Source organism: Homo sapiens, chromosome 7 (genome assembly GCF_000001405.40).
Source record: "Homo sapiens chromosome 7, GRCh38.p14 Primary Assembly".
In the NCBI taxonomy this organism is placed as follows: domain Eukaryota; kingdom Metazoa; phylum Chordata; class Mammalia; order Primates; family Hominidae; genus Homo; species Homo sapiens.
This window is the reverse complement of record NC_000007.14, coordinates 96,059,979-96,076,719: the sequence shown is the minus strand read 5'-3', so window position 1 is coordinate 96,076,719 and position 16,741 is coordinate 96,059,979. Positions and strand designations below refer to the sequence as shown.

The following is a 16,741-nucleotide window of genomic DNA, read 5'->3' as shown; positions in this document are numbered from 1 at the left end:
TTAGACAAGGAATATTTACCTTGGTACAAATCAAATGGATGAGAGATCTAAACATAAAATAGTCAACAGAATCGTCTTTTGTGGATTCAAAATAGAAACGGTACAAGTAGCAAACACTGACAAATAGCCCTTTTTAAAAGCCCAATCTAAAAATCGACGTCCACAAAAGCTTTCTTTTCCAAGTATTTGCCTATAAAGTTATTTCAACACGGCTCTGACAAATGCCTGTGTGTCCTGTCCCATAGGGAAAGGTGTGAACGCATAACGTTTTGCTCTTTGCAAAAAAGGGTCGTTAATTGTCCGAGAGCAGCCACCGTTTAGGGATGAAGGGAGATTAAGTGATTTTTGGCCAATGCATCTGCCAATTCCCTTCAGGGTAGTCAAGAATGGGGGCCGGCAGCCCTGCTGCAGTTGGAAGGTCTGTCCAAAAAAGGCCGTTTTGGAGAAAGAGGGAGAGACTGCGAGTGGCCGACTGCGCCCCCCTCCCAGCCCTCCGGCCCGGGCGCCTGAGCCGCCGCTCACCTCGGTGTCATTGTTGAGGTTCCAGAGGTCCAAGCGCCCCATCCCGTCCACGCAGGCAAAAAGCGCAGGATGCACGGGGGACCACATGACATCGTACACATAGTCTGCATTGTCTTCAAAGGAGTAGAGCGGCTTGTTGTGCTGTAAAGCAGAGAGACCGTGAAGACTTTGTGGCGCTGCTGCTGCCTCGGGCTGTCTAGAGAGCCTAATTAAAAACTTTGCACATTCACAAAGTGTCATAAAACTTCCCGAGATGAAAGTCCTCGAGAAGGTGAACCGGAGCTTTAATGTGACTAGAACTGTCCAGTGGCATAAATAAATACCGGGGGGAGAGGGGGCCTCTCAAGGGGCTGGTGGCTGGGACCGGGGGTGGGGAGGCGGTTTCAGACAACAGAGTTGTATGAGACATTCCAGACAGGTGGACCGGACTTTCCATTAGTTCGGAATTCTCGCCCGGCAACGCTTTGCGAGATGCTCGGAGCCTAAACCCAACCGTGGTCGGCCCGGCTCAGACCCGCGGGGATGTTCTGAAGCCCCGGCGGTCCCGACCGCCCCGAACCCTTTCATTGAAGGCAACCCCTGCCACCTCGTGGTCCTCGTCTGTAGCTGCAACAGCTGCTGCTACCTCCAGTCCAACTCTAGGCCAAATTCACATTTTAAGGGTTCTTTTGCAGAGAGGAATGCGTGCAAATATTTTAAAGAGGATTACTGCTCTTCCAGGAGGTAATCATTTCGCGATCCTACGCCTTTAGTCTCTCTGCATAGGGTCAGCTCACCCCAATCAGTTGAACTGGTGTGGCTCATTGAAGTGCCCCTGAACCTCTGTACAAAATGAACAGTATTCCTAGATCACCCAGTGTTTTCAAAACCCCCAAAATTGACTTTTGGGTGTTGGGGTGTGTGTGTGGAAATGCGTTAACATACCCCTAGTGCATACAAATGCTTCCACTCCAGAGGGATACAATAAATTAAAATGGCACTCTTGATTTCCAGTGAATATTGTCACATCAAAATAGCACAGAAGTCAGAGGCAAGTTTGAAAGTACACCAGAAATAAAACGTAATTGGACTTCATGAATTATTCATTCCATCTGGCTTGTCTTATTCTAATTTCTGCATAATGGCTTTACTAATCCCTGATCAATTAATGTAAAATGAAATTTAAATGATAATGAAAGCCCTAGAGATAAAAGAAATTAAGTATTCTTATATCCTCTGACAGAAATCTAAACAATGGGAGTTTTTTTCCCCAATGTCTTCTTCATCCAGTCAGCTGTCTGTACTCTCTTCATGGGTTCCACTGAATGCCTGTACAGGCCAGAGTAATAAGATCAAGAAAAGATAACATGCAATATGAACAATCAAATCCTATCTGCACAGAATGTTTAAAGAATGTATCTGTAGGGAATCGGCTCCAAATATTAGAGTGATTTCTCCAAGTGAACTGTTAATATAAAATGCACAAAATATCTCTGCTGAAATGAAAGTGAGAAAAATCAGTGTGAAAACAATAAAACTGTAACCTAAATATCACACAAAAATGTAGTGTAGTAACTGTGAGTTCTCTTTCTATGGACTGTATTTCTTTGACATTTAAAAATCACCGCTTAGAACTGAAGAAACTTTTTTTTTTTTTTTTTTTTTTTTGAGACGGAGTCTCGCTCTGTCGCCCAGGCTGGAGTGCAGTGGCGCGATCTCGGCTCATTGCAAGCTCCGCCTCCCGGGTTCACGCCATTCTCCTACCTCAGCCTCCCGAGTAGCTGGGACTACAGGTGCCCGCCACCAGGCCCGACTACTTTTTTTTGTATTTTTAGTAGAGATGGGGTTTCACCGTGTTAGCCAGGATGGTCTCGATCTCCTGACCTCGTGATCCGCCCGTCTTGGCCTCCCAAAGTGCTGGGATTACAGGCGTGAGCCACCGCGCCCGGCCTGAACAAACTTTTAATACATTAAAGCAACACAGAATATTTTAGATGGGCCACTATGTGGATATAGTGAGATGTGTCTTATTTTTAATTCAAAAAATATCTGACAGAGGGTGTGATTTGAAAAGAATTATATGACATTGAGATAACAAAATGATCAACTGGACATTAGCCTTATAGTTTTTTAAATTTTATGATTCTATAATTCTTTTATGCCAAAGTATGTATTATGTACTATGTTTGCAGTGTGATTTGAAGCCAAAATTATTTGCTTATTGGCTATTTCTGTAGCATCTTTCTTTCTCTCCCTGTTTGGACTACATGATTCAAACTACTTTCTCGATAAAACCTAACTGTCCAATGACACCTGAAAATAGCATAATTGTATCATTTTTCCTTATTTATATTTTTTAAAAGGCAATGTGGAGTGGCTGCACCTTCAATGACTACTTGTAAATATTAAATTCTAACTCTCAGTAGAAGATTATTCCCACTGCAAATTCTTGATTTTATAGCTAGCCAGCCCACTATTTGTTAAAGAACACGAATAACAAATTTTTCTCAAAGTCAAAGGGTGTTAAAGGTTTATATATGCTTTAAAAAGTCAATTGTCAGGATCCTCATCAACTCAGCTGATAGTATATCTGAGGGTATAGAGGTCTTCATACAGATAGACTCATACAGACCTATACTAAACACGTAACACAATTGCAAATCCTTATTTTGATCAATTAAAAGACCATCCAGCTTTAAACAGTCATTTTCTAAGGAACTGATATTATTTGATACATTAATTCTTTAATTATCCTGTAAATCTTCAGTGTTTTATTTCCTTTTTTGTTTTAGTAGTTTCTTCTCTGAGAAATGTAACCAAAACTGTAGTATATTCTGGAGACTTCACATTTTAAGTATCTGGAAATAACTGCTATTGTTCATGTTACCAAAACCCAGTTTCTTATATTTAATAGTATTGATTGAAATGCTATTGCTCTCTAGCCTTTCTCCAACCTCCTTATCACCCTTCACCCCAAGACTGAGCCTTTTATTATAAAAGTTGCTGTGCAAATAATTCTAGGCTACAGTACGTGTGTGTTTGGGAGAAGGGAGGAAGGCTTATATTTTCAAAGGCTCTGTTTAACATTGATAAATTCACAGGTTGGGAAAGTCTTGATCAGGATTGATTGAACTTGTTATCAAAGTACCATGTAGGTTGACATCTGTGAACCACTAATTGCCAAGCAAAGCACAAGCATAACATATGGGCACAGGCGAATGTCACTTACAATAGTGCTCTTTGAATATTAGTTGTGTTTTTTGATAAAGGGATTTTATTATTCTATTTTATTCAGGCTCAAAGGGTAATCTGAAGACCTGATTAAAAAAATCTGTCTCATGCATAAAATATTTTAAGGTAAACTCATGTATATCATAAAGTATTAGAACTGGTAAACTCATGTATATCATAAACTCATGTATATTTTGAAGTATTAAAATTTTCATAAAGAAGTTAAAAGCATGAGGTTCTAAAGATTCTAAAGATTTTGAATTTATGAGACATAAATTTCTGGATCCACAAACATGTTATAGCTTGCTTGTGCTTTACCACTCATTTTAGAATACTGCAAGTTTTGAAAAGGCTGGAGATGATGGGGGCAAATTTGACCAATAATTGTGAGAATGAATCTTATAATACTATTTGTACATATGAAAGCCACAGAAGCTTCATGATTTTAAAGATTTACTCTACAAAATTCTCAAGGCCAGTTAGTAAATGAAATATTGTTCCACAGCAAGTTACTGTAAAGAACATTTTTCAAAACAATCAAATTTCACTAGAAAAAAAAACCCCTTCACCTGTGTTTCCTTTTCTATGTCATGTTCAGTATCAGCAAACTGTTAAAGAAAAGGGAAAAAGGAAAACTACACTGTTACACGGCCTACTGCACGTGTGGTACATGTCAATGAAATAAAATTGTGACACCTTGTGCTTCCAGGGCTGTTACAATAATGGTAAAGTATCCAGGCACAGCCCAGCTTGATTTTAATACTCTGACTCAAACAGAGCAGAGAAGCGGGCTACCGGTCACCTCCCAGGCAGACATGAAGGGCAAGGGAGGGTAAATTTTTGGGTGTTCGTTGTGTGCCTGACTCTATATGTACATTGTCTAATTTAATCCGCATAAAATCTCTGTAAAGTAGACGGTATTTACAGAAAAGAAAATTACAGTTCAGGAAAGTTAGTAACTTTCCCAAGGCCACAAAGGTTGTTAAGTGGTAAAGCTGGATTTGGTTCTCAGGTTTTCCTAGCTGTTAAGCATATCCTCTATTTGCTGGGACTATATGGTCCTTCTATAAAACATAGCAATGACCTTCAGTCCTTATTTAAAAAAGACAATAGATCTGTTACCTCTATTCTTTACTCTCCCATTCAATTCCATCAATATTTACTAAGCACATACTATGTAACTTGTAGAAACAGTTTAAAAATAATGCAGTCAGATGCTTATTTCATTTCCTGAGTCTGTTAATGATCCTGAGGATGTTATCTATATATTTGCAAGAGTCTTTAGCACCTTGTGAGATGAACAGGAATCTTTTTCTCCTGAAAGCTAGAAAAAGTACAGGAATGGTCCTTTAGACAGTAAAGATGAACAGCAGGCTACGCAGTGGAGAGTGGAAAAAAATGATGTCAGAAGGTAAAGACCTGTTTCAGTTCACTGAAGGTTTGTATGACTCTGGGTGAGGGACTATAATTATATTATCTGAAAGATGGGAATAGCAAAGGTAGCATGGAGCAGAAAAGGTAATGGGAGAAACTGGAAAACTACAGACCTTGGGAAATTTAACTTAACATCCTTGGATCTTACTTTTCGCATCTTACGATGGAAAGCTGCAGCTACTGACCTCAAGGGCTCCTATTAGCTTTGTGATTCTACAACTGCTTTATTACGTGCTTTGTTACCCTGTGGTAAGGATAGAATGGAAAAAAAGTATGTAAAAATATTTTCCAAAGGTAACTATTATCATTAAAGCCATCTTCCTTTATGTTTTGTGGAGTTCATATCACAGTGATTTTTTTCTTACTCTATATTTCATGAAAACAGACATATAAAATGCACCAGGGTGGTTTTTAATGAAAAAGTTAAAATTATGGAAGTAATAATAAACTTCTTATTTGATCAATTAGAGAAGGAATAAAAATATTAAATTCACATAGGAGAGGCAAGTAGTGAAATCTGTTTAAAAAATGAAACTCACAGCATTCATCAGTGTTTTACAATAAGACTTGATCTCTAGAATTGAGCTTTAGTTTTATAAATATATGTCTGAAAATGAATAGACCTGCAGATTTTCCTGATCAAGTAAACAAAATGATTTCACAAGAGGTGAGTTTCTATTTCTGATGTCAGATATATGCCAAAGTTAAATCTAGAGAATATAATGGTTCTTTTCCTCTGTATTATTTACTTTTCTCTTATCACACGCCTCTAGGCATCCCAATAGGATTTAGTGTTTTGGTGAATAGGAAGATTTGTATTAAAATGTCTCCTAACACCTAAAAATGTTGTGGTTCTCGAGGCTGCATTTGTCTCTAAATGACCCAAACCATGAAAATATCTTTGGGTGGGTAGGTGGTAGGGGGTACCATGTGGGTCGGTGGGAAAAGGGGCATAAAGTAACAGTAAAATTTCTAAGTTATAAATTCTGAAATAAAAGGAAAACTCATGGAATCTTACCTTAAAAACTATATCCTGTTGGGAAAAATGATGACCAAAATAATAAACAATGAGTAATAAGAAAATGTCCTTCAAAAATTGTCATGTGGGTTCCTGTGAAGTAGTTAAAATAAATAGCTAGCTAGTTCTTCCAGGAAACATTAAAATGTGAGACCACAATATCGCTTTTAAAAAACCACCAAAGGACCCCAAAACTTCAGGCTCACACAAAAATGGATGCTTCCACCATAAAAAGAAAGTGCTTAAACAAACAAGTAAACCAAAACTCGCAAACCAAACCAAACCAAACCAAAAAACCAACTCTCTTGGCCCAAGGGAGGTGTTATGAATTTGGTACTATCACTGGGAAACTTTATTTGCAACTTAATTTGAGATCCTTCTAATGCACAAAGTATCCTATATTTATCTTAACTTCTGTGGCTAATATTCAAACAATACTTATGATCTCTAAATGATATCTTTACCTGTGTGTATCGTGGTCAGAAATTCAAAATTGGACATAAACAATTTTGGTGAACTATTCTCAATGGACTATGTATAGTGGTCTATTTGTTTTTTGTGTGCATAAACCAAAATTAGGCAAGGACTTTAACCTGAATTAGTTAATATGAAACAATTTGAAAGAAGGTTATAGAAGTTCAGGAATTTAGCATTTGCTTCTCTATAAATGTAGAAGTTTTGCTAAATAAGTACTGAAGCCACATGAAAGGTGTTCTTTGTTGCACTGCTTCCCTCTACTGCTTATTTGCATGGAAGAATCCACCTAATCCAAGAGGCGCCACCAATAAAGAAGCTAATTATCCATATAAAAGAATGTATACATATTCACAGGTTTTGACTAGTATTGAGTGTTTAAAGCCATGGAAAAAAGCTACAAGCTTTGCTTAATTCATAAAAGGAGTGTTTCCCACACTGGCATGATTTTCATGAATATCAGCTCCACCCAAGGTTCTCATTCAAAACTGGCGTTTTAATAGCACAAATCTATATAGAACCATTGTGAAAACAGTAAGCAAGCAAGGATGCTCTTTTGAATTACCTCTTACAGCCAATTCAATGCCTATGGCTCCACTGACATTCTGGCTTCTTGCTTATTTGAGTCGAGGAGGGCAGAGTCACTATGTCTCCAAAACCAGGTTCAGCCAAGCTGGCTCATTAGCAAAATTGAGGCAGCTGTTCTCTTGATTGCTATTCTCATTCTGGACTGATAGTCTTGCTCTCTGAAAGATCATGTGGCAGTAAAGGAGGCAAGCAGGTTCAAAAGAGCCCCCCTTTGATTGCTTTGCTCCAACTCTATTTTTACCATGGCTGAGTGGTTTCATGTCCAACATGGTATTATTTAGACAAAGAAGCATTCTATATATCTACGATGATCAGGTTGATTAGAGACTTTATTAGGAGACTGGAGGGAAAAGGTGGACATTGGTATTAAGGATTAGGAGGGTGTACAGGGATGAGGATGGACTGGACCTAGAGGCAGCTAGATATGTGGTTGTATCAGGGCCTGGAAGCCTTGAAAAGTTAGAAGAATGAGCAAATAAAGTAGAATATGCAGGCTTGACTTATTTTGCTTATTTATTACTTATTTAATGTCAAATTGTGCAACCACATTTTACTAGTGGATAAGTTAAGTAGCAAAATATTTTCACCCTCGCCCTTAAACTGCCAACCTTTTACTCTAACATCTGGCTAACAACCCATTTCACCTATATATAAATAAATTAAATATACATATGTACATATACACACAATTCTTAAAGAAAGGCATAAAAATATCAGATATAAACTCAGATCTATGGATTACACTTTGATTCCCCCTTCATATTTATTTCTCACATGCTCAGGTAAACATTTTCTAGTTTCCAAAGCTAATCTCACATTAGTGATCTCGCTACATTTAGTAACCATGACATTTAGAAGATTTTATGTTTTTCAAGAAATGTATACCCAAGTGCCCAGATTTATCCTATCAAACATGTCTAATAAAATCTAATGGTAAAATTATCTAAACGTTTAATTCTACCTCTTGCGTCAACAATTGACCATATATATAAAAGACACATTTTCAAAGAGTCAAGGAGAGGTTTTTTATGTAGCTCTGCACTCCCACATCTCCCATTGTTAAATGTTATGTATTTTACATTATATTTAATATGAGTACAGATATTACTTGTATTTATTTTAATGGTGGAGAGAACTAGCATGGAGAATCACAAATAGCAGAAGTTCAACATATTTTGTTCAAATGTAAAATATATTTAATATGCTTCCTGCTTTGTAGCAGATTTGTTTACCTTATTCTGTTTCACTAAAGCCGAATGGAAATCAATTTCTGTTCAAGAAACAAATATGCTCTAAATGTGAGGTGAGGTGATTCAGGATGCTGGAAGTGGCAGTGGGAAAATAGTCTAGTATTAATTATGGGTCCTGGACAATTTGCAAGGTTGAGGTCACAGGAGGCTGGTCAAGATGGACCCACATTGGTTTGGTCCAAAAATAGCTACTTTGGGGATAAAGATGAGTTTTAATTTATCCTCCAACATTAGACTAAAATGTAGGTTAGAGCAGAAAGGTGGGGTGGGGATATCTTTGATCTCATAATTATGTAGATAGTCGTATTTGTTACTCTCATTCTCTCTCTCTCTTTCTAAGTGTGTATGCTCTCTCTGCAACATTATTACTTAGGAGGAGGAGGTTGGGGAAGGCAACTCGTTTAATATATCATTAAAATGAAAAGGAAAACATTTCCACTCTGGTTAAAGGAGCAAAAGAAAGGATTCACCAAGTCCTTACTTGTTGGACAATGGAAAAGCCCAGTCAGCTGAATAAATTTCAAGTCTCAAAAGTGTTTGTACCTTTATGAATTATTCACACGTCTGCATAAATATTTAACAGCCATAGGTATGTGTTGGTGGATAAATGTATGAATGTTTGGGGGTGGGTAGGGTAGAGGTGGAGGTAAAAGGACAGGAAGTATGAACACAGGCCAAGTCTGGAGGTGACTTTATGATTACATTCTTGTGGTTTCTTTCAAAGTCAAAGTATTCTCCCTGGGTGAGCTTTAAGAAGAAATAAAAAAAAAAAAAAAAAGGAAAGAAAGAAAAGAATTTGATGACTGGCACAGGTAGTTTCATTGAAAGCCAATTTTAATGTTTGCCATCTTATGTTAGGAAAGGGGAATGAAAATGGGGATAAGGGAAGAAAAAAAAATAAGTCAGACACCACCTGAACATTGTGTTTGTTAGAAAGGCAGCCAGCAGGGCTTTGGGGTTGCGGGAAAAAAATGCACTCTGTTATCTGGTAAGTGTTACTGGCAGTAAACTATTGATTTTGTTAATCCTCTTGCCTGTTTTAAGTCTTATGTCTAGATGCCGGTGATAGCTAAAACTTCAACTTTTTATTTTTATGACATGTTTTTTCTGATATTTTGAACATTTACCAAAATGTTCAAAATATCAGAAGATGTTTATTTCTCCTGCCGTTAGCAGAAATAAAACACGGTAAGGTCCCTTTGTTAGAATGATGTCATTTTAGGAGATGTTTCTGTCTCAATTTAAAATAATCCAACTTACTTTAACAAGGCACATATTTCAGCAATGATTTATTAAGGACCTAACATATGCTTTCTTCTTTGGGTAATCAAAAGAAATACAGGAACTGATTTTGTTCTCAAGCACAAACAATCCAGGTAAGAGAATGAAAATTATGATATAATAAGAGAAGAATATTGCTTATTTGGGGATCTGTTTTCTCACTTTGTTCTAAAAGGATTTATGGAGTCTTACAAGTTAAATATACTGCAAAATTAAGAACAAACACACAACAGAGTTCTAAAGAAGGGAGGTAGAATACATAGCTATTACCAGGATCCTGAGATAAGCTGATTATTACAATATGGTTCTGCAACAGCTCTAAATTTCCTGATAACTAAGACAAAAGGGAAAACACATCATATCACAAGGAGGTACCCAGGTTTTTACCATCTGAAGAAAGGAAGAATATAAATTCCCCCTCAAAGACACAATTCTGGGAAAAACTCTGGGAGGAATTTACCATGTCTGCAAATCACTGGAAAACAGACTGGCTCTCTGCCTTGTTTATACCAAAGAAAGAGAACAAGTATGTAGCCAGGTGCTAAATTCTGTGGTACAGATGTTAGGTGCCAGAGGAATTTGAAGATTGGGGGTGGTAGTGGTGTGTTGGTGTTACCAGAGTCTGATGTGGTCAAGGATGGTATTATCTAGGACAGGTGAGGGAACCTGCCTTGAAAGATACATAGACTTTGACAGATGGTAAGGAAAACAGTCAAGAAGAGGAGAGCAAAACATGCAAAAACCTGGTTAAGTCAGTATGGTATTCCCAGACGGATATAAAGATGAGAGGTGGGGACAGCCTGAGTGAACTCTGAGGATTTGTCCTAAGAAATAATGAAAACAAAATAATTTTGGTTTGGGTAGGGGAAAAGTGGGGTATGTTATGAAAAGTCTTGGGTATGTAGTTAAAACTTTTTGCTGCAATTAGCTATTAATGTATTAAATGTGCATTGATAAATGTGCTATGTGCTAAACAGATTCAGAGATGTTTAACATTCACAAGAGTGTTTTCAGCTTTTCTAGTGCAGTCAACTGAATGACGAATACCATTAAATGAGTAGAAAATAGAAAAAATAGAGAAATAGAGGAAGGTCTGATCTGTATTTTAAACACAGTGCATTTGAGTCTCTGGTAGAGACACTCAGGTTAGGCTGACAGTGGAAGTGCAGGTCTGAAGTTGAAAGAGAGAGTGGGCCTGAAGTCCACACTAAAGAATCAGTCACACGAGGTGCTGTGGGAGAGGAAAGAGCCGGGATGCTCGGCGCGGTGGCTCACGCCTGTAATCTCAGCGCTTTGGGAGACCAAGGCGGGCAAATTGCTTGAGCCAAGGAGTTTGAGACCAGCCTGGGCAACATGGCGAAACCCTGTCTGTACAAAACAAACAAACAAACCAAAAATTTAGCCAGGCATGGTGATGAATGCCTGTAGTCCCAGCTATTTGGAAGGCTGAGGTGGGAGGATCAATTGAATCCTGGAGATAGAGTCTGCAGTAAGCCATGATTATGCCACTGAACTCCAGCCTAAGCCACGGAGAGAGACCCTGTCTCAAAAAAAAAAAAAAAAAGAAAGAAAGAAAAAAAGAAAAGAGTGGGGAGGATGGAGAAGAAGGAGGACTATGGAGGAAATTTTGAGCATTTGGGCTGAGAGAGTAGAAGAGAGAGAACCAGTGGAGAGGACCTAGACAAAGCAGGAGAACATAACTGGGCTAGAGAGAGCTGCAGGAATGAGGGGTGGATAATACCAAGAAACCATTGAATGTAGCAATTAGGAATTCGTTGATGGTCTTAAACTGAGAAGTGTTGGAAGATTAATATGGTTGGTTGAGGGTGGTTGGCAAATGTGGCAATGGTCCATGTGGGTGCACGCTGATTCTTCAAGTGGTTTGCAAGCTAACCCAAATTTTAGGCCATGTTTGAGATATTTTAATCGAACCCATCTAATCATCAACCACTAATATCTAAGCAAATCATAACACTACTACATGAGTGTGTGTCTAGGGCTGCCTTTTTTTTTTTGCCTTAAGACCACCCACTGTCCATTTAGATACACCATCCTTGATTTTTTGGACCATTTCTTACTTTGCTTTCTGTCTCAAGCACTTGGCATACAATCTGGCAAATGGAAGGCAGATAAGATGGACTGTAATTAGGTGATGAACGCAGCCTTGAGTTCAGTCCTATTTTGTCTGACACCTGTGAACAGAGCCTTCAGCCTTCCTCTGATGCTCTGGGCTTGGGCTTTCCTAGACTCCCCAGGACCAAACCTCTACTCTCTCAAATGGATTTTTGATTTGGCATCCTCCTTGGGATAACTATTGTGCTTCTAGCATGTTACCTTGGTTCAGAACCTTTCCCCTCACTTTGGTACCTTGAGATGTAACCTCTGATGAAGGTCACATTTGCTGCCCAGTCATGGCAAAGATTTCAGCATGTTTGAACACCACGGGAAAAGATCAGGAAACTGCTACTGAGCAAGAAAGCTATATGAAAAATCGTAATGAAAGGTAGGCCACTAGTGAGTTGGATAGTAGGAAATCTAGCCACAAATTTCCTGTGGATCACAGGGACAAAGCAATGGAAATTAAATGTCTGATTAATTGTATCTCATTAAAAACAAATAAACTTATCCTTTGACTTAAAGCATCAGTATGTCCCTGAAACACACAAATTTCAATTGGAGAGACACTGAGAGAGGGAGAGAGAGAGAGAGAGAGAGAGAGAGAGAGAGAGAGATATGAATATTTCTTTCCATGAAATATTCTGATATGTTTGGTCTGGAGAAGAACAATGATGCTTAGAAACAAGCACTGACTCTAAAGAAGCCTGAATCCAAACCAGCACCACAGGGCAACTAAATACCCTGCACCAGTCAGTAAATGTATTCTGAAGATGGTGATCAACGGTCTCTGCATTCAGCATCAGCCAAGCCACCTCTCCCGCTAACCACATTGCATCAACTGTTCCCGCTGCTTTCCCTCGACATCCATGGGTCCTTCAAGGTTCTGTTGCCTCTGGGATTCAGCCTTGGAGAGACTGGAGCCCTTCAATATAAGGATTAGGAGGTGGCGGTAGTGAAAGGCCTTATGGTTAACTCTTTATTTGTCCATAACCAAGGATCAATTGTGATAATGAAATATCTTTAGCTCTTATGGGTGGAATTATCACCCTCTCTCTCCATCATCAAATTCATATGGTGATGTCCTAATTCCAGTACCTTGGAATATGAGACTGTTGTTTGTGGAGGTAAGGTCTTTAAAGAAATAATTAAGATTAAATGAGGTTGTATGGGCGGGCTGTAATCCAGTATGACTGGTGTTCTTATAAAAAGAGGAGATTAGGACACAAACGTGTACAAAGGGAAGCCCATGTGAAGACACAGGGAGAAGGCAGCCACCTACAAGTCAAAGCGAGAGGCTTCAGAGGAAACCAACCCTGATGACACCTTGATCTTGAACTTCTAGCCTCCAGAACTATGAGAGGATGCATTTCTGTTGTTTAAACCAGGTTGTGGTAGTTTGTTATGGCAGCCCTAACAAACTAACATAATTCTCAAATGAGAAGAGAAGGCAGACTTTTTTTTTCCTCTTGGCCTCTAATGCACAGACACATGCGCACAGTTCCCCACAATTCTGCACTTATGTAATTCCCCCAACAGTGCAATTTGAGAGAGAAAGAAGGCAATTTCTGAGCAGCTATTTCTCTCCTTCCTAAACACATCCCTTTGCAATCAATGACTACGGCTCAACCATCAGCTATATTGCGCCTCCATTGAAAGAGGCAGGCTGCCTGTAATGAAAGAAAACACACACATACACACACACACACACACACACACATATATATACACACACACACACACATACACATATATTCCCCTTTCTGAAGACAGCAGAGCCTCTTTTCAACTTAGCTTTAAGTCATACTCATAGTTCTGTGATGTTCCTGATACCACCGGGACAAATATGGATGGAGAGTGGAAAGCTAATACAAACAGGTCAAACCACCCCAGGGACACAACTCAGCTTGAACCAGAAATTATAATTCAGTTCAATCCAGTCAGTCAGTTCTGCCTTGAAGACAGCTACTTTTTCCTGAGACAGAAGTCTTCTGCACCGGAGTTTAAAGTTTCATTTGGTTTAATTTTGTCACCCTCTGCAGACTTCTTTTTATTTTAGAAATGGTGGCTACAGGGTGAGATGGGGAGTGAGTTGGGAGAGTCCTTAATCAGCTGCCTTCAAGGCTAATTACTGTTGAATAGGTTCCTGAGGTTGGAAAAATTTTGAAGAATTTTTGAATACATTTCTGCAGTTCTCTTAACAATAGGATCTATCAAACAGCAAGGCAAAGGCTCTGTTTAAAAGCAAAGACAGAAGATCAGAAGAATATGTCTGATTGCCGAAGCGACTAACTTATATTTACACAGTATTAATGATGCTACAGTAACAAATATCTATAGCCTGGTTTTGACAGTTTACTGCAAGGGTTCCCATTGTTTAGAGAGAAAAAAAAAAAGAAAAAAACAAAAGAAGGAAAGTATTCTATTTTGCTAAATTTCCATTTGTTAACAAAACTCCCCATAAGCAAAACCAGAGGTCATTAGCAAACAACCAAAACATGTCTGTCTCCGGAAGAATACAGGAATACAGCTCCCTTCATCATTTAAAATACAGCTCTGCTGAAAACCCAAATCATGATAAATCCTTAACATGAAAAATTCAGTGCAGACTTGAAACCACCTGACTTTACTTTAGGTTTGTGCTCCTTAAAATTACCTAGAAAATACCATCATCTTCTCTTCCTGCAGCTGGACGTGGGCCAGGGCCCTGGCTCCAGAGGCGAAGGGCAAAACTAAAAATCATGTTTCAACAGACCGCTCCACCCTCTCTCTCAAGTCCACTTGGCCTTGTGACAAAAAGTGAGGTCTAAAGCACATTCATCCAAGGCCTGGGTTTTTGGCTAAAACTCAAGACTCTTATAGGACAAACAAAAATGAAATCCAAAATGTTATCACCCCGCCTTACAAAGTCAAATGGGTTTAAATGGGTGAACTGCATATGCCAAATGGTCCACATTTGCAATTTAATAGGGAACCCATAGAACTTGACGAAAATGTGACTTTTTTATTCTGAGAAAGGTCATTAGCTGAGATTTTAAATTCCAAAGTGATTTTTGATAAATTGGAGTGTGTGTGTGTGTGTGTTTGTGTGCGTGTGTGTGTGTGTGTGTGTGTGAGAGAGAGAGAGAGAGAGGGAGGGAGGGAGGGAGAGAGAGAGAGGAAGAGAGAGAGAGACTCTTTTTCCATACCAAATCAAGCACTCTGGGGGTGAACGGCTCACTATTGGGAAGTGGGAGGGTTCGGAGATTCCACTGTGGGGGCCTGCTTGCCTGGCATGACTGCCGCCCAACTCTAGGTAAGCCTCCTAATGCCCTTTATTCTCTTTCACTGAAAGCTCCAGTTCTTAAGAACTCACTTTCCCCAATGCCCACCCACTCTGACACTCCCCATCCTCTCTTACGCTTTGGATGGGTGAGAGTCCAGAGACACTGTCAAGTAATTTTTACCTCTTCCCGAGCTAGTGACAGGCTCAGTACAAATAGCTACATTGAGAAAGTACCTCCATGCTACAGATTCCACAGCCAACACTTTGACAAGACAGTCCAGGGCTATGAATACCACCATCTGATCCCACTGGGCAGATTCGTGCTGAAATGGCAGGACCAGGCGTTCCAAGTGTGTTTTCCCCTTCGCTCCTTAATTAAAACCCTCTGTTCCAGCCAGTCGGCTGCATTCACCATCTCCTCCACACACTGAACGCATTCTGGTCTCCAAGCCTTTGTTCACACTGCTTTCTGCTCTTAGAGAATGTACTATTCTCTCTCCTCGCAAAGGGTCTGATCTTGCCATCCAGATAAAGTCCTCCCTCACCCCACAATCCCCTCTCAAACACTGACAGAACACAGGGAGATGTCTCATTTTCTCCAGCCTCAGCCATTGTTTTCTGACTTCTTTTTCGGTGTTCCATTTTGGGGCTGCCTTTGTGTCTGCCTTACGCTGTTATAGTATTTAAATACACTCTTCCTTCATTACTGAAGCGTCATTGAGTTTTGCATGTAGAGCAAGGGTTTTTTTTTTTAGACTTTATTTTTTAGAGCAGTTTTAGGTTCCAGCAAAATTAAATAGAAAGTATACAGAGATTTCCCATATGCTCCTTTCCCCAACACATGCACAGCCTCTCCCATTGTAAATATCCCCTACCAGAGTGGTGCATTTGTTACAACTGATGGATCCACACTGACACATCATTGTCATCCACACTCCATAGTTCACATCAGGGTTCACACTTGGTATGGTACATTCTATGGGTTTGGACATATTTATCATGACATATATCCACCATTATAGCATCATACAGAATACTTTCACTGCCCTAATAATCCTCTGTGAGAGCAAGGTTTTCAAACAATTTGCAGGGCTGTGGGTTTCCTTCTTGAGGGATTGTGGGGTATCTATGAGTTCTCTAATGGAAACATTTATTTTATGTTTTCCTTTAGATGAGAGTCAAAAAGCATGCTAGGGATCACCTGCTTGCTGCTGCCTTATAACCATGTATGTCGGACTTCAGGCCTGCTGGAGTGTCTTTGCTACAGTCGTGAGAGACTTGGGGGAAGAGACCACATCCAGGAACCATGAATATGTAATGATGGATTTGTGCCACAGGAGGGTGGTTCTTGGAGCCATCACCCACACAGGGTCACGAAGGTGGCTGAACTGGGAAGAACCTGCACCAGGGAAGTCAGCCCGATAGTCATACTGTGAATAGAACTTTAGTTTCAGTGAAGCATCCACTTGTCACATTAAGTTAATGTGATTCACTTAAATGGTTATTGTTTGGGGGTAAATTTGATTTGTAAACTTTGGGGGAAGGCTGTAAAATTATCTAATAAGCTATAGCTCAAATATATTT

The 16,741-nt window shown here is 39.4% G+C and overlaps 1 protein-coding gene across 5 annotated transcripts in view, besides 4 other annotated features; it reads right to left on the bottom strand.

Moving 5' to 3' along the window:
* DYNC1I1 (dynein cytoplasmic 1 intermediate chain 1) overlaps positions 1-16,741 on the bottom strand; it is a 337,769-nt gene that overhangs the window by 33,603 nt on the left and 287,425 nt on the right. For all 5 annotated transcript variants that reach the window (NM_001278422.2, NM_004411.5, NM_001278421.2 and 2 more), the window contains one exon: positions 523-663. In NM_001278422.2, the coding sequence (NP_001265351.1) occupies positions 523-663 (141 nt within the window). The remainder of the gene's footprint in view (positions 1-522; positions 664-16,741) is intronic.
* Positions 336-943: an enhancer, noted in NCBI's record as "VISTA enhancer hs2308 and eExon 15 fragment used in the reporter transgenes". NCBI's record gives its function as "enhancer in: limb[8/8] | genital tubercle[4/8]; activates a Hsp68 promoter in apical ectodermal ridge, limb bud mesenchyme and the genital tubercle of transgenic mice, and also activates a minimal E1b promoter in pectoral fin, caudal fin and somatic muscle of transgenic zebrafish {active_cell/tissue: fin | limb | genital tubercle | somatic muscle}" and the evidence as "EXISTENCE:transgenic organism evidence [ECO:0001131][PMID:17130149, PMID:22914741, PMID:22442009]".
* Positions 523-696: an enhancer, noted in NCBI's record as "eExon 15 exon subfragment used in the reporter transgene". NCBI's record gives its function as "moderately activates a minimal E1b promoter in caudal fin and somatic muscle of transgenic zebrafish, with weak activation in pectoral fin; shows higher activity in combination with the 5' intron subfragment {active_cell/tissue: fin | somatic muscle}" and the evidence as "EXISTENCE:transgenic organism evidence [ECO:0001131][PMID:22442009]".
* Positions 676-943: an enhancer, noted in NCBI's record as "eExon 15 5' intron subfragment used in the reporter transgene". NCBI's record gives its function as "moderately activates a minimal E1b promoter in caudal fin and somatic muscle of transgenic zebrafish, with weak activation in pectoral fin; shows higher activity in combination with the exon subfragment {active_cell/tissue: fin | somatic muscle}" and the evidence as "EXISTENCE:transgenic organism evidence [ECO:0001131][PMID:22442009]".
* Positions 9,003-9,502: an enhancer, noted in NCBI's record as "eDlx#24 fragment used in the reporter transgene". NCBI's record gives its function as "activates a minimal E1b promoter in the forebrain, pectoral fin and heart of transgenic zebrafish {active_cell/tissue: fin | forebrain | heart}" and the evidence as "EXISTENCE:transgenic organism evidence [ECO:0001131][PMID:22914741]".